At 36.2% G+C, this 19,886-nt stretch overlaps 1 protein-coding gene across 13 annotated transcripts in view, besides 1 other annotated feature; it reads right to left on the reverse strand.

The window, feature by feature from the left end:
• Positions 1-19,886, reverse strand: part of HDX (highly divergent homeobox) — a 184,576-nt gene that overhangs the window by 62,650 nt on the left and 102,040 nt on the right. The gene's annotated exons all lie outside the window — the stretch shown is intronic.
• Positions 8,171-9,370: an enhancer, noted in NCBI's record as "CDK7 strongly-dependent group 2 enhancer chrX:83643706-83644905 (GRCh37/hg19 assembly coordinates)". NCBI's record gives its function as "activates an origin of replication core promoter dependent on BRD2, BRD4, P300/CBP, MED14 and CDK7 cofactors, with strong dependence on CDK7, by STARR-seq in HCT116 cells {active_cell/tissue: HCT116}" and the evidence as "EXISTENCE:reporter gene assay evidence [ECO:0000049][PMID:35650434]".

Genomic DNA, 19,886 nt, shown 5'->3' on the forward strand with positions numbered 1-19,886 from the left:
GACCACGTGAGATTTATTTCTGGTATGCGAGCATGGTTCAACATATGAAAATCAGTCAATGTGATACATCACACCAACAGAATGAAAGGTAAAGACTTTATGATTATGCCAATTAATGCTAAAAAAGCACTTGATAAAATTCAACATTGCTTCATGATAAAACAACAGCCATCACAAAACCAGGGATAGAAGAAACATACCTCAACATAATAAAAGGCATATATGACACTCAGTATCATATTGAACGGGAAGAAATGACAGCCCTTTCTCAGAGATATTGAAAACAACAAGGAGGCCCACTTTCACCAGTTATTCAATATACTACTGGAAGTTCTAGGAAGAGCAATGAGAAAAGAGAAAAAATAAAGGGCATGAATATAGGAAAGGAAGACGTCAAATTATCCTTCTTTGCAAATGATATGATCTTATATTTGGAAAAATTTAAAGACTACACACAAAACATTTAGAACCGATAAATTCAGTGAAGTTACAAGATACAAAATCAACATACAAAAATCAGTGGCATTTCTATATGTCAACAGTGAACAATCTGAATAAGAAATTAAACAGGAATCCCATTTACAATAGCCACAATAAATACGTAGGAATTAACCAAAGAAGTTAAAGATCTCCATAATGAAAACTACAAAACACTGATGAAAGAAATTGAAAAGGGCACCACAAAATGGAGAAGCATTCCATGTTCATCGACGGAAATAATCAATAATGTTAAAATTTCCATAGTCACCAAAGCAATCTACAGATTCAGTACAATCACTATCTAAATACCAGGGACATTCTCCACAGAGAAAATAACTATCATAACATTTATACAGACCCACAAAGACCCAGAATAGCCAAAGCTATTCTAGGCAAAAATAACAAAACTGGAGGAATTACATCATCTGCCTTCAAATTATACTACAGAGCTATAGTAACCAAAACAGCATGATCTGGCATAAGAAATAGACATGTAGAGCAATGGAATAAAATAGATAACCCAGAAACAAATCCAATCCACACACCTGCAGTAAACTCATTCCCATAAAGGTGCCAAAAACATACACTGGGGAAAAAGACAGTTTCTTCAATAAATGGTGCTGGGAAAACTGGATATTCATATGCAGAAGAATAAAACTAGACTCCTATCTTTTGCCATATACAAAAATCAAAACAAAATGGCCTTAAACATTTAGTCTATAACCTCAGACTATTAAACTACTACAGGAAAACACTGGAAACAACCTTTAGGACATTGGGCTGGGCAAAAATTTCTTGCATAATACCACACGAGCACAGACAATCAAAGCAAAAAAATGAACAACTGGGATCATGTCAAGCTAAAAATCTTCTGCACGACAAAGAAAACAACAAAATGAAAAGACAACCCATAGAAGGAGCAAATATTTGCAAATTGCCCATCTGACAAGGGATTAATAACCAGAACATATAAGGAGCTCAAGCAACTTTATAGAAAAAAATCTAATAATCCAATTAAAAATGGGCAAAAGATTTGAATAGATATTTTTCAGAAGACATACAAATGGCAAACAGACATATGAAAAGGTGCTCAACATCACTGATCCTCAGAGAAATGCAAATCAAAACTACAATGAGGCATTATCTTACCTCAGCTAAAGTGGCTTGTATCCAAAAGATAGGTAATAACAAATTCTGGCGAGGATGTGGAAAAAGGGGAACCATTGCACACTGTTGGTGGAAATGTAAATTAGTACAAACACTATGGAGAACAGTTTGGAGGACTGTTAGAAAACTAAAAATATAAGTACCATATGATCCAGCAATCCCACTGCTGGGAATATACTCAAAAGAAGGGAAATCAGTATATCTAAAAGATATCTGCACTCCCATGTTTGTTTCAGCAGTTTACAATAGCCAAAATTTGGAAGCAACCTAAGTGTCCATCAACAGATGAATGGATAAAGAAAATATAGTACGTACACACAATGAAGTACTAGTCAGCTATAAAAAGTATAAGATTCAGTCATTTGCAAGAACATGAATAGAACTGGAGTTCATTATGTCAAGTGAAATAAGCCAGACACAGAAAGACAAATATCACATGTTCTCAGTTATTTGTGGGATCTAAAAACCAAAACAATTGAACTCATGGACCTAGAGAGTAGAAGGATGGTTACCAGAGGCTGGGAAGTGTAGTGGAGGGCATAAGGGGAGGTAAGGATAGTTAATGGCTACAAAAAGAGTCAGAAATAATGAACAAGACATACTACTTGATAGCACAACAGGATGACTGTAGTCCATAATATATTAATTGTATTTTTTAAAATAACTAAAAGAGTGTAATTGGACTGTTTGTAATAGAAAGGATAAATGCTCGAGGAGATGGGATATCCCATTCTCCATGATGTGCTTATTTCACGTTGCATGCCTGTATCAAAACATCTCATGCGCCGCATAATATATATACCTACTATGTACCCTCAAAAATTAAATATAAAAAAAATTCTTGAGTTTTAAAAATGAAATTAATTTGTGATCATTGTGAAAACTTGAACAATATATAAAATTAACGTGTAGTATATATAAAATAAAAAGGTAGCATTCTTCTTAATCCTGGCCTTCCTAATCTACCTTTATAATAATGCCACCACCAATACGGGGTGAAAAACTTTTGGGAAGGCAGACACACCCTAGCAAATGTTTAGAATCAACAAGAATATTTAAGAATGATTACTCTCTCTCACCCAAAGAGAGAAAAGACTATTCCTAGGTAATTTTGTAATACTTCACATAAATTTTGAAATGTTATTTCATAATTGGTAATTGAAATAGAAACTAGAAAAATATTTACCTAGTACAGAACTTTATAAACAATTTCCAAAATAATGTGTAGTATGTATAGTTTATTCTGTAAGTAAAACTGAAAAAACTAAGCTTAAGTATATTGTCATTTTATATTAATGCGCATTTCATGGAATTTCCACGGTTATATTCAGTAATAAGTACTAAAAATGTTAAAAGTCATCAAGATCATATGTCTGGCTACATTTACTTGTAGTTGCTGTCATTTCTGTTAAATTTCAGCTTTCATTTTAGATACAGGATGTACATGCACAGGTTTGTTACATGGGTATATTGCACCAAGTTAGTAAGCACAATACTCAATATGCAGTTTTTCAATCTTTGACCCCCTCTCTCCCCACTCTAGTTGCTCAAAGTGTCTATTGTTCCCATGTTTATGTCCATGCATGCTCAAAGTTCAGCTCCCACTTATAAGTAAGAGCATGCGGTATTTGGTTTTATGTTTCTACATTAATTAACTTAAGATTATGGCCTCCAGCTTCATTCATGTTACTGCAAAGGACATGATTTTGTTCCCTTTTATGCCTCCATAGTATTCCATGGTGTATATGTATGACATTTTCTTTATCTAGTCCACTGTTGATAGACATTTAGGTGGATTCTACGTCTTTACGATTGTGAATATTGCTGCGATAAACATGGAAGCATATGTCTTCTCGGTAGAGCAATTTATTTTCCTTTGGGTATATAACCCATAATGTAACTGCTGGGTCAAATGGTAGTTCAACTCTTAGTTCTTTGAGAACTCTCCAAAGGGCTTTCTACAGTGGCTGAACCAGTTTACATTTCCACCAACAGTGTATAAGCATTCTCTTTTCTGTGCAACCTTGCCAGTATTTGTTATTTTTGACTTTTTAATAACAGCCGTTCTGAGCTATGTGAGATCATATCTCATTGTGGTTTTGATTTGCATTTCTCTGATGATTATTGATGAGCATTTTTTCATGTTTTTGTTGGCTGCTTATATGCCTCCTTTTCGTGTCTTTGCCCATTTTGTATTGGGGTTGTTTTTTGTTGATTTGTTTAAGTTTTTTAGATTCTAGATATCAGGCCTTTGTAGTATGCACAGTTTGTGAATATTTTTTTCCCATTCTGTGGGTTGTCTGTTTATTCTGTTGATAGTTAACTTCACTGTGTAGAATCTATTTAGTTTAATTAGGTCCCACTTGTCAAGTTTTTTTTTTTTTTTCTGTAATTGCTTTTGGGAACTTAGCCAAAAATTCCTCACCAAAGCTAATGTGGAGAAGGGTATTTCCTAAGTTTTCCTGTAAGATTTTTGTAGTTTTCAGTCTTATATTTAAATCTTTAATACATCTTGAGTTAATTTTTATATATGGTGAAAGATAAGGGTCTAATTTCATTATTTTGCAAATGACTAGCCAGTTACCTCAACACCATTTATTGAATAGGGAGTACTTTTCCTATTTTCTGTTTTTCTTGGTCTTGTTAAAGATCAAGTGCTTATAAGTGTGTGGCTTTATTTCTGAGTTTTCTATTCTATTTCATTGGTCTGTGTGTCTGTTTTTGTACCAGTACTTTGTTGTTTTGGTTCCTGTAGCCTTACAGTATTGTCTGAAGTCACGTAGTATAATGTCTCCAGCTTTGTTCTTTTTCTTAGATTTGCCCTTGGCTATTTAGGCTTGTTTTGGTTCCATGTGAAAGTTAGAATTTTTTTTTCTCATTCTTTGAAGAATGATGTTCAGAGTTTCACAGGAATAGCACTGACTGTTAATTGCTTTGGGTGATGTGGCCATTTTAATGATATTGATTTTTCCAATTCATGAGCATGGAATTTTTTCCATATATTTGTGTCATCTCTGATTTCTTTTTTTTTTTTTTTTTTTTTTTTTTTTTTTTTTTGAGACGGAGTCTCGCTCTGTCGCCCAGGCTGGAGTGCAGTGGCGGGATCTCGGCTCACTGCAAGCTCCGCCTCCCGGGTTCACGCCATTCTCCTGCCTCAGCCTCCCAAGTAGCTGGGACTACAGGCGCCCGCCACTACGCCCGGCTAATTTTTTGTATTTTTAGTAGAGACGGGGTTTCACCGTTTTAGCCAGGATGGTCTCAATCTCCTGACCTCGTGATCCGCCCGCCTCGGCCTCCCAAAGTGCTGGGACTACAGGCGTGAGCCACCGCGCCCGGCCTCATCTCTGATTTCTTGCAGCAGTTTTTTTGTAGTTCTCCTTACAGACATCTTTCACCTTCTTGGTGAGCTGCATTCCTAGGTATTTTACTTTCTTTCTGGGATTTGTAAATGGGATTGTGTTCTTGATTCGATTCTCAGTCTGCATGTTATTGGTGTATAGAAATGCTACTAAATTTTGTACATGGATTTTGTATCCTGAAACCTTACTAAAATTGTTTATCAATTCTAGTTGCCTTTTTTTTACAGTCTTTAAGGTTTTCTAAGTATAAAATCATATCGTCAACAGAGAGATAATTTGACTTGTTCTTTTCCTACTTGAATGGTTTTTTTTTTTTTTTTTTCGCCTGGTGGCTCTTGCTAGCACTTCCAGTATTATGTTAAATAGGAGTGGTGGTTGTGGGCATCCTTGTCTTGTTCCAGTTCTCAAGGGGAATGGTTCTAGCTTTTGCCCTTTCAATATTTTGTTGGCTGTGGGTTTGTCACAGATGGCTCTTATTATTTTGAGGGATATTCCTTCAATACCTGGTTTGTTGAAGGTTTTTATCATGAAGAATGTTAGATTTTATGGAAAACTTTTTATGTGTATATTGAGATGATTATATGTTTTTTATTTTAATTCTCTTCACATGTTTTATCACATTCATTGATTTATGTATGTTGAGTCAAACTTGCATCTCAGGAATGAAGCCTACTTGTATTGTGGTAAATTAACTTTTGGATGTGCTGCTGGATTAGATTTACTAGTATTTTCCTGTGAACTTTTGCATCTATCTTCATGAGAATTAGTGGCCCTATTTTTTTTCTTCATTGTGTCTCTGTCAGATTTTTGTATTAGGGTAATGCTCGTTTCACAGGCTGAGTTACGGAGGAAACCCTACTCCTTCATTTTTTGCAATAGTTTCATGATAATTGGTACCAGTTCTTCTTTCTACCTCTGGTAGAATTCAGCAGTGGATCCATCTGATGCAGAACTTTTTTTGGTTGACAGGTTTGTTATTACTGATAAAACTTCAGAGTTTGATATTGGTGTATTCTGGGTTTCAATGTCTTCCTGATTCAATCATAGAAGACTGTGTGTTTACAGGAATTTATCTATTTCCTCTAGATTTTCTAATTTGTGTGCATGGAGTCATTCCTAGGAATCTTGGAGCATCTTATATTTCTGTGGGATCAGTTGTAATGTCACTATTGTCATTTCTGATTGAAATTATTTGGATTTTTTCTGTGTTAATCTAGATAATGGCTTTCCAATCTTATTTGTCTTTGCAAAGAAACAGTCCCTTCATTTCACAATCTTTTATATGGATATTTTCAGCTCAATTTTATTTAATTCTTTTCTAATTTTAGTTATTTATTTTCTTCTGCTAGCTTTGGGGTTGATTTGTTTCTTTTTTTTCCCTAGTTCCTTTAGTTGCAAAGTTAGGTTATTAATTTGAGATCTAACTTCTTGAAGGGATTTAGGGCCATAAACTTTCCTCTTAACACTGGTTTAGCTTCACTCCAGAGATTTTGGTAAGTTGTGTTCCTATTTTCATTAATTTCAAGGATTTTTTAAATTTTTGACTTAAGTTTGATGTTAACCCAGGAATTATTAAGAAACACTTTGTCTAATTTCCATATATTTGTGTAGTTTCGAGAGATCTTGATATTCATTTGTTTGTATTGCACTACGGACTGAGAGTGTGCTTTGTGTGATTTCAATTTTTCTTAAAAAATTTATTAAGACTTGCTTTATGTCTGAGCATGTGGTCAACCTTTGAATATGTTCTGTGTGCAGGTGAGAAGAATGTATATTCTGTGGTTGCTGGACGGAGTGACTTGTAATGTCTCTTAGGTCCAACTGGTCAAGTGTCAAGTTTCTTTGTTAGTTTTCTGCCTCAATGATCTGTCTAACAATGTCAGTGGGGTGTTGAAACCGCCTAGTATTATTGTGTGATTGTCTAAGTCTTTTTGTAGGCCGAGAAGACCTTGTTTTATATATGTGAGTACTCCAATGTTTGATCTACATATATTTAGTAAAGTCTTCTTGTTGGATTGTGCCCTTTATCAATATGTTATGCCCATCATTGTCTTTCTTAATTTTTGTTGGTTTAAAGTCTGTTTTATCTGATATAAAAATAGCATCTCCTGCTCATTTTTTTTCTGTTTTCATGGCATATCTTTATCCAACACATTATTTTGAGCCTGGGTGTGCTGTTACATGTGAGATGGATCTCTTGAAGACAATAGATGGTTGAATCTTCTCTTTTATCCAGCGTGCAACTCTGTATCTTTTAAGTGGGGGAATGTGGCCCATTTACATTCAGGGTTGATATTGACATGTGAGATTTTGATTTTGTGATGGTTGTTATGTAGACTTGATTGCATAGTTGCTTTATAGAACCTGTGTGCTGTGTACTTATGTGTGTTTTGTGTTAGCAGGTGTTGTTTTGATTCCCTGTTTAGCACTAACTTAACAACCTCTAATAAGACTTGTCTAGTTGAAATGAACGCCACTATCATTTGCTTGTCTGAGAAGGATTTTGTTTCTTTTCTGTTTATGAAGTTTAGTTTGGTGAAATATGAAATACTTGGTTATAATTTCTTTCCTTTAAGGATGCTAAAAATAGGCCCTCAATATCTTGTGGCTTATAAGGTTTCTACTGAAAGGTCTACTTTTAGCTTGATGGTGTTCCTTCTATATGTGACTTGACCCTTTTTTCTAGCTGCCTTTAAGTTTTTTTTTTAATTTTGCATTGACCTTGGTGACTCTGATGACTGTGTGTTTTAGGAATGGTCATCTTTTATAGTATCTAGACATGGTTTTATGTATTTCTTGGATTGCATGTCAACATCCTCAGAGAGATTAGGGAAATTTTCATGGATGATGTCCTCCAATATATTTTTAAGTCGCTTATGCTGTCTCCTCTCAGGAATGCTGATGAACTGTAGATTTGTTTTTTCTACATAATCCCATATTTCTAAGAGGTTTTGTTCATTTTTCTTAATTCTTTTTCTCTTTATTTTTTGTCTGACTGAATTGATTTAAGGAACTTGTCTTTGAGCTCTGAAATTCTTTCCTCAGCTTAGCCTATTCTGCTGTTAATGCTTCAGATTGTAATGTGAAATTCTTGTGGTTTTTTTAGCTTTCGAAGTTTGGTTTACGTCTTTCTTAAAATGTCTATTTTATCCTTCAGCTCTTGGATCATTTTACTAGATTTCTTGGATTCCTTGGATAGGGTTTCAACTTTCTCCTGAATCTCAGTACACTTCCTTGCCATCAAGATGCTGAATTCTATGTCTGTCATTTCAGTCACTTCAGACTGGTTAAGAACCATTGCTGGGGAGCTAGTGGGTAAGGGACACTGTGGCTTTTGAAGGTAAGGGACACTCTGGCTTTTTTAATTGCCAGACTTTTGTGCTTATTTCTCATCTGAGAAGCTTGGTATTCCTTTAACTGTGGTGTAAGTTGAGTATAGTCAGTTGGCTTTCATTCTTGACACTCAGAGGGCCAGGGCTCTGTACAGGATCCTTATGTATGGGTGAATTATTGTGCTCGGTTTCACAGGTGTATATATTGGCAGAATATTTGGCGTTGTAGTTTTGACTTTTATCCAGTAGCTGAAGCTAGGGAGTGATGGCCAGTAGTTAGGCTAATAGCCACATGACTCCTTTGTACTTTTTGTCATTTGCAGGCATGCTCTGCTTTGGGAGTGGAGAGACGGCACCCTCACCAGATTTGCTCTTCGGCTTTCTCAGAGCTCCCTTCAATCACCACTGCCACGCCTGGCTTTCTTTTGTTAGATATTGTGGGCCAAAGGGCCACCTCAGGCAGACACAGTGGCCACACCCTTTCTGGACCAGCCTGGCAGAGGAAGGCACACCCTACTCCTGCCCTGACTCAGGGACTCACCCATCTTGCCCTTCTCAGTGCTCTCAGGTTGGGGGCTCCTTCCCTGCTTGAGTGCTGGCCTTAGATCTTGGCTACCTACTCCAGAGCTGCATGCCACAGCCCTGAGGCACTAGGATGTCCCAAGGCTTGGAGTTGGGTTCTGGCCGCACTGAGGGATCCAATGTTTTCCCAGGTCACCAGGAAAATACTCAGGTGGAGCAATGCACTGAGGCTGGGCTGCAGAGGCTGCGCTGTGCAGAATAGACATGCGTCAGTCCCATGGAGAAGCAGGTTTCACTCTCTTCTGGCTCAGAGGTCAGCTAAGGCCTGTGCCTCCCAGAGAAAAATGGGGAGTGCTGGGAGATGGCCATCTATTACTGCTCTCCACCGGAGCTGCCCAGTGCACAAAAACTCCTGGCCTTTAAGCCGTTTAAAGGCATATCTCTACTTGTTCCATGGGAAGATTCCCCAGACCAGCTCACATGTCTGTCGGGAATGCGTGGTCCCCTGTATCTAGGATCCCATAGGTCAATGGCAAGAGTGAGCTGTCCTTTCATTCTTTCACTTACCCTCTTTTCAGGCGCTCTCCAGGGTCTGAAAGTAGCTCTAGCATTCATGTATCTTGCGCAGGGTTTCCAGCTTCCTCCCTCTTCAGCCTAGGCCCCAGTGTAACCGTTCTATCCACCCTCATATATTTCTCTCCAAAGATCTTCCCACATTATGGTGGTTTACTTCGTAATTAGGTCTGTCTCCATGGGAGTAGTGCTTCTTGGTTGCATCTAGTTGACCATCTTGTCCCCTCCCCCATCATTGTTTTGTTAATATTACATTCAGTCTCTAGATTTAACCACACTCTCTAATGACATGTGCCTCTAGTTTTAAAGTATACAGTTTTAAAAGTTGTAAAATAATCTGTTATTAATAGGTGTAATAACTAAATTTATTTTTACTAGTAAATTTTTAAGAGTGAATTTCTGTTTTCAATATTGTAGCTTACTGTGATATAGCCTCTGTTGTACTTAACCAGTTATAGTATAAATATTTTATCACGTTCTGAAAATTTGCTTAGCTTTTAGCTAGAAGCTTCTAGAGGGTGGGCAGGGATTGGAACAATTAACTTACCTTTGTATTACCCCTAGAATGGATTTAAGAGCACGATTATAACACAAGCGGCTCATAGAATAGCTCCAGCAATTCACTAGTCCAGACTAGACAATTTCATAATTATCCAAGATAAATGAGTATTAATATTCAGCTGTCATTATTCAGCTTACCAAAGAAGAATATATGCAAGCTGTCAAAAGATTTTAAGGTGTGACAGCTTTTGCAAACTCATGCCCTTAAATTGTTAGCAAAAAAACAAAGTAAGTGAAAATGATTACTTACACATTCTGTGGTACAGTAAACTTGCTTAAAAAGCACATTTAAACAAATGTGTATCTTTTCTTATTGGGACATAATATTTTGCATACTTATGGGGTACATGTATTTGTTGCATGCATAGAATGTGTAATGATCAAGTCAGGGAATTTGGGATATCCAGCATCTGGAGTATTTATCGCTTCTCTGTGTTAGGAACATTTCAAGCCCCACCTTCCAGCCTCTGAAATATACAATACATTGTTGCTAACTATAGTCATCCCACTTTCCTATCAAACATTGGAAATTATTTCTTGTATGTAACTGTATATTTGTATCCATTAATAAACCTTTTTTAATCACCCCTCCCATCCACACTATTCCCAGCCTCTGGCATCTGTCATTCTATTCTGTGAGATAAACGTTTTTAGCTGTCACATATGAATGAGAATGTGATTTTGTATTTTTGTGCCTGGCTTATCTCATTTAACATAATGGTCCCCATTTCCATCCACGTTGCTGCAAATGAAATGATTTCATTCTTTTTTATGATTGAATAACATACCATTGTGTATATATACCACATTTTTTATCCACTTCTCCATTGACTGACACTTTGGTTAATTCCATATGTTTGCTATTGTGAATACTGCTGTGATAAACATGGTAGTGCAGGCATTCCTATATTTGATATAGTGATTTCTCTTGGATAAATATTCAGTATTAGGATTGCTGGATTATGTGGGAGTGCTGCTATTAGTTTTTTTTTTGACAAATTTCCATACTGTTTTCCATAGTGGCTCTACGGCATTATATTCTCACCAAAAGTATATGAGTTCCTATTTCTCTGCATCCTCACTAACATTTGTTATTTTTTGTCTTTTGGATAAAAGCCATTTCAACTGGGGTGTGATATCTCATCATGGTTTTGTTTTGCATTTCTTTGTTAGTTAGGAATGTTGAGCATTTTTTCATATACCTGTCAGTCATATTTATGTCTTTTTTGAGAAATGCCTAGATTATTTGCCCAATTTTTAATAGGATTGTTTTTTAGCTATTGAGTTATTAGAGTCCCTTGTATATTCTGGATATTAGTCCCTTATCAAATGAATAGTTTGCAAATATTTTCTTCCATTCAACAGGTTGTGACTTCATTCTCTTGATTGCTTCCTTTGTTGTACAGAAGTTTTTAGTTTAGTATAATTTCACTTGTCTATTTGTGTTTTGTTGTCTGTGCCTTTGAGTTCTTAAGCATAAAATCTTTGCCTAGACTAAGGTCATGAAGATTTTTCTCTAGGTTTCCTTCCAGTAGTATTATAGATTTGAATCTCACATTTAAGCCTTTGTATATGGTGAGAAATAAGGGTTCACTTTCATTCTTTTGCATACGAATATTTGATTTTCCAAGCACCATTTATTAAAGAGACTATCATTTCCCAAATGTATGTACTTAGCACCTATATTGAAAATCAGTTGACTTTAAATATGCATATTGATCTCTGGGTCCTCTTTTATGTCCCATTGTCCTATGCGCCTGTTTCTATATCAATACCATACTCTTTGGTCACTACAGCCTTGTAATATATTTTGAAGTTAGGTAGTGCGGTACCTCCAGCTTGGTTCTTTTTTCCCAGGATTGCTTTCGCTATTTGGGCTCCCCATTTGTTCCATGCAAATTTTAGGATTCATTTTTTCTAATTATGTGAAAAATGACTCTGGTATCGTGGTAGGGATTGCATTGAATTTGTTGATTGCTTTGGGCAGTATAATAATTTTAATGATCTAAATGATTTCAATATGTGTGCATGGGGTGTCTTTTCATTTTTTGTGTCCTCTTCAATTTATTTTATTATTATTTTGTAGTTTTCCTTGTAGAGCTTTTTCACCTCCTTGCTTACATTTATTCCTAGGTATTTTACTTTTTTAGCTATGGTAAATTGGATTGCCCTCTTTATTTTTTTCTTGGCTACTTTATTATTAGTGAATAGAAATTCTACTGACTTTCGTATCCTGATTTTTGTAGCTACTGATTTTTTTATCACTAATTTTGTATCTATGGATTTTTATATACTGATTTTTTTTTTTGTCTACTGATTTTGTGTCCTGAAACTTTACTGAATTTATTTTTCAGATCAAAGAAGTTTTTGATTGAGTCCATAGGCTTTCTAGATATAAGATCATATAATCTGTAAACAGGGATAGTTGGACTTCTTGTTTCCCAATTTGGTTGCTGTTTATTTATTTCTCTTGCCTGATTGTTCTTGCTAAGACTTCCAGTACTATGTTGAATTACAATATAAATATTTTATAACATTCTAAAACTTTGCTTAGCAAATGTGGCATCCTTGTATTGTTCCAGTTCTTAAAGAATTTCAGCTTTTCCCCATTCAGTATGATGTTACCTGTGGATTTGTCATATATGTCCTTTATTATGTTGAGGTGCGTTCTTTCTGTGCCTAGTTTGTTGAGAGCTTTGGCATAAAGGGATGTTGAAGTTTATCAAATTCATTTTCTGCACTTATTGAGATGATCATATGGCTTTTGTTCTTCATTCTGTTGATGTGGTGTGTTAACATCACGTTTATTCATTTTCATGTGTTGAACCATCCTTGCATCACTTAGTTAAATCCCACTTGATCATGGTGTATTATTTTCTGGATGTGTTGTTGAATATACTTTGCTAGTATTTTGTTGAGGATTTTTGTTTCTATGTTCATCAGACAAATTGGTGTGTCGTTTTTTCTTTTTTATTGTTATTTTCTTGTTTTGGTATCATAGTAATGCTGGCATTATAAAATGAGTTAAAGAGAATTCATTCTTCTTCAATTTCTTGGCATATTTTGAGAGGAATTGGTTTCTTTCTTGAAAGTTTGGTAGAATTCTGTATTGAAGTCATCCAATTGTGGTCTTTTCTTTATTGGGAGACTCTTGATTACTGCTTTGATCTCATTACTTGTTATTGGTCTGCTCAGGTTTTCCATTTTTTTCTAATTTGATCTTGCTAAGTTGTATGTGTCCAGGATTTTTTGCATTTCATCTGGGTTTTCCAGTTTGTTAGTGTACAGTTACTCCTGATAGTCTCTGATAATCTAGTATTCCTGTGGTATTCACTGTGATATCTCACTTTTTATCTCTGATTTTGTTTATTTGGTTCTTCTTTGTTTTTTAATTCAGCAAATGGTTGATCAATTTTGTTCATCTTTTCAAAAACCAACCCTTTGTTTTGTTGATCTTTTGTATTTTTTTAGTCCCTATTTCATTGAATTGTACTCTTATCTTTATTCCCTTTTCCTAATTTTGATTTTGATTTTTTTCTTGCTTTTCCCTGAGATGCATGATTGGATTATTTATTTGAAATACTTCTGCCTTTTTGATGAAAGTGCTTATTGCTATAAACTTCCCTCTTAGCACTGCATTTTCCTATATGCCATATGTTTAAGTATGAGGTATTCTCATTTTCATTTGGCTCAAGAAATTTTTGAATTTCCTCCTTAATTTCTTTATTGATCCAATAGTCCAAATTCAAGAATATGTTGTTTAATTTCTATGTATTTGTACAGTTTCCAAATTTCTTTTTGTTATGAATGTCTAGGTTTGTTCCACTGTAGTCATAGAAGACTTGATACGACTTTGACTTTTAAAAATTTCTTGAGACTTGTTTTTTGTCTTATCATATGTTGTATCCTGGAGAAAGTTTTATGTTTCGATAAGAAGAATGTGTGTTCTGTAGTTCTTGGATGAAATTTTTATAAATGTATGTTAGGTCCGCTTGGTCTAAAATGCAGTTTCAGTCCAATGTTTCTTTGCTAATTTTCTTATAGATGATTGGTTTAATGCTGAGAGTGGTGTGTTGAAGTCCCCAGTTATTATTGTATTGGAGTCTATCTCTCCATTTAAGTGTAATACAATTTGCCTCATATATCTAGGTGCTCCAGTGCTTGATGCACATATGTTTAGAATTATTACATTCTCTTGCTGAGTTGATCCCTTCATCATAATGCAATGACCTTCTTTGTCTCTTTTCAGTTTTTTTTTATTTAACATCTGTTTTATCTGATGTAAGTATAGCTACCTCTGCTTGCTTTTGGTTTCTATTTGCATGAAATATCTTTTTCCAACCCTTTATTTTCAGCCTATATGTGTCTTTACAAGTGAGAATAGTTTTGTGTAGGCAGCATATAACTGGGTCACTTTTTTTATTCAGCATGTCTACATCTTTTAAGTGGATAGATAAATCCATTTACAATTAAGGTTATTATTGCTATATCAGAGTTTATTCTTGTCATCCTATGAATTGATTTCTGGTTGTTTTGCATATAAATTGTTGTTTTCTCTCATATCATCGTTGTGGCTTGGTGGTTTTCTGTAGTGGTAAGAGTTGAGTCTTTTTTCTTTTTTGTTTGTGTGTTTGCTCTCCTAGTGGTTTTATATGTTTGTATGTATTCATGATGATTGATATCATTCTTTTGTGTGTTGCTGTTGTACTTCCTTAAGTATTTCTTGGTCTGGTCTAGTTGTGATAAATTCTATCAGCTTTTATTTGTCTGGAAAATACTTTACTTTTCCTACATTTATGAAGAATAACATCATTGAGAGTAGTATCCTTTATTGGCAAGTTTTTTTTTTTTCCCCAATACTTTAATTATATCATCCCATTCTCTCACGGCCTGTATGGTTTCTGCTGAAAATTTTGCTATTAGTGAAATGCGGGTTCATTTATAGGTGTCTAGATGCTTTTTCCTTAATGTTTTTAGAATTCTCTCTCTTTCTTTGACTTTAGAAAGTTTCGCTAAATTGTGCCATGGAAAAGACCTTTATGCATTGTGAGTGCTTAAGGCTTCCTGAGCTTCCTGTATTTGGATACCTAAATCTTTTGCTAGACTTGGAAAGGTTTCACCTATTATTTCATCACCTATGTTTTCTAACCCATTCATTTTTTCTTTACCTCCTGGGACTCCACAAATTTGAATATTTGGTCCCTTTATGGTGTTCCATATGTAATGTAGGCTTTGTTCATCTTTTTTAATTCTCTTTATTTTTGTCTGACTGGGTTATTTCAAAAGATCTGTCTTCAAGTTCTGAAATTCTTTATTCTACTTGATTTAATCAATTATTAAAACTTTCCAATATATTTTGAACTTCATTCAATGAATTATTTAGTCCCAGAATTTTTTTAATGATGTCTATCTCTGGCAAATTTCTCATTCATATCCTGAATTTTCTGATTCCTGTATATTGGTTTTCGGTATTCTTTTGTATCTCCCTGAGTTTTCAAAAATCATTATTACAAATTATTTTCCAAGATTTTGTACATTTATTTTTGATTTGGATCTATTTCTGAAGAATTATTGTGCTCCTTTGTAGGTGTCATATTTCTTTGCATTTTCACGTTCTCTATGTTGTTATGTTGATATCTGCACATGTAGTGTAACAATTGCTTCTAATTTTTTTGAATTTGTTTTCATAGGGGAAGACATTTTCCTGAAGATACATCTATGGTGTTGGTTGGGTAGGCCACTTTGGTTTTGATTCTGGGTGCATGCAGTAGAATACTCGCTGTATGATTTCTTTTTCTGTAAATAGCATTATTGGTATCTATGATATCCTTGATGTTTTAGTGTGCAGTTATTACTGGAGGCTGTAGTGAAGTTCTGCCTGAGACTGGACCCCAGTGGTGGCATTGGTAGTCTGAGTCTGCCTATCCTTGGGCCCTAAGGCAGAGTATTATGGCACCTGTGTTAGTGGATCTATGGGAGCTGATTCTTGGGCCTCTACATTGTTTGCTTGGATTTCAGTTGTGGCTGTGGTGGCCAGATGGGTGGGAAAGTTCTCAGGCTATACAGCAGATGTGGCATGGGCAATTGCAGTAGCATTGGTGGTATATCTCTCTGGGTTTTGAGCAGTAAATGCTAGTGTTGTTGGCATCCCCAATGGGTTGGGAAGGCCAGTCTCCAGGTCCTCAGGTAGTGTGTGCCTGTAAGTGTCAGCTGTGGCAGTATCAGCAGGGTGGGTGTGCTCAACCTCAGTTCCCTGGGAGGAGTGCTCAAGGAGACAGGCTGGGTGATCCCTAGACCCCTGGACTGCATACTCTGGCATGAGGGGGTGAAGCTGGACTAAATGGGCATGTTCTAGGGCCTCACAGTGGTGCATACTGACATTGGTTGTGGTAGGTAGGGACAGAGTAATCCTTAGGCCACAAGTAGAATGCTAAAGAGAGGCAGCAGCTGCACTGAAGCCTTGTCACTGGGAAGGGTGGGGTTGCTTTCAGTGGCAGCTGCCATATGCAGGTGTATGGGGAGCATGCTCTTTGCTCACACTTTGTCTCCCACAATGTCAGTCAACACTTCACTCAAAATTCATCTTCAACATGCAGCAACTGAAGCTACACTTAAGGAATTCTGCCACTGCATGGTGGCTTCTCTCCTGGAGGCAGTGGAGTCACTGCCTGTTGCCCATGTTTTGGCCCTGCTGATAGCCGTCAGCCAGTGTGGTGTTTGTGGGTAGGGGATGTCAGTGAAGCTCCAGGGATGTGGAGATGAAGGTACTGTTGAGACCAATGGCCATATCTAGTCTTGGGATCTGGGATCTCAAAATGGCACCTTGCAATAGTTGCCTAGAACTTGGAGCAGCAAGGAGGTCGGATACAGCACAAGTTCCCTCTTTGGGCAGTGTCATCATGTGGTCTTCAGGCAGCTCCCTGTTAGTTGCAGGGTCTGCATGGGTCAAGAGGCTCTTCCATGTTTAAGATTGCAGGAGTCCACGGTAGAAAGGTGGACTGCTGGGGATCCCTCACTTACCATTTACCCACATTTGGGAGTCTCACCAGTCTCCAGGCAGAACCCAGCTGAGGAGGCTGCCTTTCTTCCCTCTCTTTCTGTGCTTTAGGTATTTCCTGTCACTTTTCTGTTGAACCACAGTGTTCTCTTTTGGATAATCTATTCAAAGTGTGATTACCTACTGGCTATTTAGCTTCTTATTTGTGGTGAAGGTGAGTATGAGATGTCTCTATAAGCCATCTTGAAGTACCTCCAGTCTATTTTGCTATCTTTAATATGTTTAACAATAAGGCATTCAAGTGAAGAATTGTCCTATAACAAGACTTGAATCTAAAATGTGGATAAATGTTATTGATTGAAGCAGACAAATGTAGAACCTGAAAGATGGCTGACTAGAAGCAGCAGCAATCAGAGGCTGTCATTGAAAATAACCATAACAGCGTGAGAATCCTGCACCGGCAACCAAGGTATCCAGGTTCTCTCATCCTGGGACTGACTAGGTAGCTGGTGTGACCCACAGAGAGAAAGGAAGAGCAGTGTGGTGCGGTGGCCCACCATATATATATAGTATGTGTGTATGTATATATATATACACACACACACATATATATATATAGGCCAATGACACTATGAAGAAACTGCATCAACTAGTGTGCAAAATAACCAGATAGCATCATGATGACAGATCAAATTTACACACAACAATATTAACCTTAAATGTAAATGGGCCAAATGCCCCAATTAAAAGACATGGAGTGGCAAATTGGATAAAGAGTCAAGACCCATCAATGTGCTGTGTTCAGGAGACCCATGTCAAGTGCAAAGACAAACATAGGCTCAAAATAAAGGGATGGAGGAAAATTTACCAAGCAAATGGAAAACAAAAAAGCAGGGATTCCAATCCTAGTCTCTGACAAAACAGACTTTAAACCAACAAAGATCAAAGAAGGCAAAGAAAGGCATTACATAATGGTAAAGGCATCAATTCAAGAAGAAGAACTAACCTAAATATATATGCACCCAATACAGGAGCACCCAGATTCACAAAACAAGTTCTTAGAGACCTACAAAGAGACTTAGACTCTCACACAATAATAGTGGGAGACTTTATCACCCTACTGTCAATATTAGACAGATTGAGAGACAAAATTAGCAGGGATATTTAGGACGTGAACTCAGTTCTGGATCAAGTGGACCTAATGGACGTCTACAGAATTCTCCACCACAAATCAACAGAATATGCATTCTTCTCAGTGCCACATGGCACTTATTCTAAAATCGATCACGTAATTGGAAGTAAAACACTCCTCAAAAGATGCAAAATAACTGAAATCATAAAAAACAGTCCCTCAGACCACAGTACAACAAAACTAGAACTCAGGATTAAGGAACTCACTCAAAACCACACAATAACATGAAAATTGAACAACCTGCTCCTGAATGACTCCTGGGTAAATAACAAAATTAAGGCAGGCATCAAGAAATTCTTTGAAATGAATAAGAACAAAGAAACAACATACCAGAATATCTTGAACACAGCTAAAGCAGTTTTAAGAGGAAAATTTATAGCACTAAATGCCCACATCAGAAAGCTGGAAACATCTCAAATCAACACCCTAAGATCACAATTAAAAGATCTATGGAAGCAAGAGCAAAGAAATCCAAAAGCTAGCAGAAGACAAGAAATAACTAAGATCAGAACACAACTGAAGGAGATAGAGACACAAACCCCCCCCCAAAAAAACAATAAATCCAGGAGCTGTTTTTTGAAAAAATTAACGAAATAGTCCACTAGCTAGACTAATAAAGAAGAAAAGAGAGAAGTATCAAATAGACAACAATAAAACATGATAAAGGGGATATCACCACTGACCCCACAGAAATACAAACTACCATCAGATAATATTATAAATACCTCTACACAAATAAACTTTAAAATCTAGAAGAAATGGATAAATTTCTGAACACATACACCCTCCAAGACTAAACCAGGAAGAAATCTATTCCCTGAATAGACCAATAACAAGTTCTGAAAATAAGGCAGTAATTAATAGCCTACTAACTAAAAAAAAGCCCAAGAGCAGACATATTCATAGCCAAATTCTACCAGAGGTACAACAAGGAGCTGATACCATTCTTTCTGAAACTATTCCAAAGAATTGAAAAGGAGAGACTACTCCCTAACTCATTTTATGAGGCCAGCATCATAGTGATAGTAAAATCTGGCAGGAACACACACACAAAAAAACTTCAGGCCATTATCCCTGATAATCACCGATGTGAAAATCCTCAATAAAATACTGGCAAACTGAATCCAGCAGCACATCAAAAAGCTTATCCACCATGATCAAGTCAGCTTCATCCCTGGGATGCAAGGCTGGTTCAACATACACAAATCAATACATGTTATCCATTACATAAATAGAATCAATGACAAAAACCACATTAATATATCAATACATGCAGAAAAGGCCTTTGATAAAATTCAACATCTCTTCATGTTAAAAACTCTTAATAAACTAGGTATTGATGGAATATATCTCAAAATATTAGGAGCTATTTTATGACAAACCCACAGCCAATATCATATTGAATGGGTAAAAGCTGGAACCTTTGAAAACCGGTACAGGACAAGGATGCTCTCTCTCACCACTCCTATTCAACATAGTATTGGAAGGTGTGGCAAGGGCAATCAAGCAAGAGAAAAAAATAAAGGGCATTCAAATAGAAAGGAAGTCAAATTGTCTCTGTTTGCAGACAATATGATTCTATATTTAGAAAACTCCATAGTCTCAGCCTAAAAACTTTTTAAGCTGATAAGCAACATCAGCGAAATCTCAGGATACAAAATCAATGTGCAAAACTCACAAGCATTCATATACAATAACAAAAG

The sequence above is a fragment of the Homo sapiens genome, chromosome X (assembly GCF_000001405.40).
Source record: "Homo sapiens chromosome X, GRCh38.p14 Primary Assembly".
NCBI lineage: Eukaryota > Metazoa > Chordata > Mammalia > Primates > Hominidae > Homo > Homo sapiens.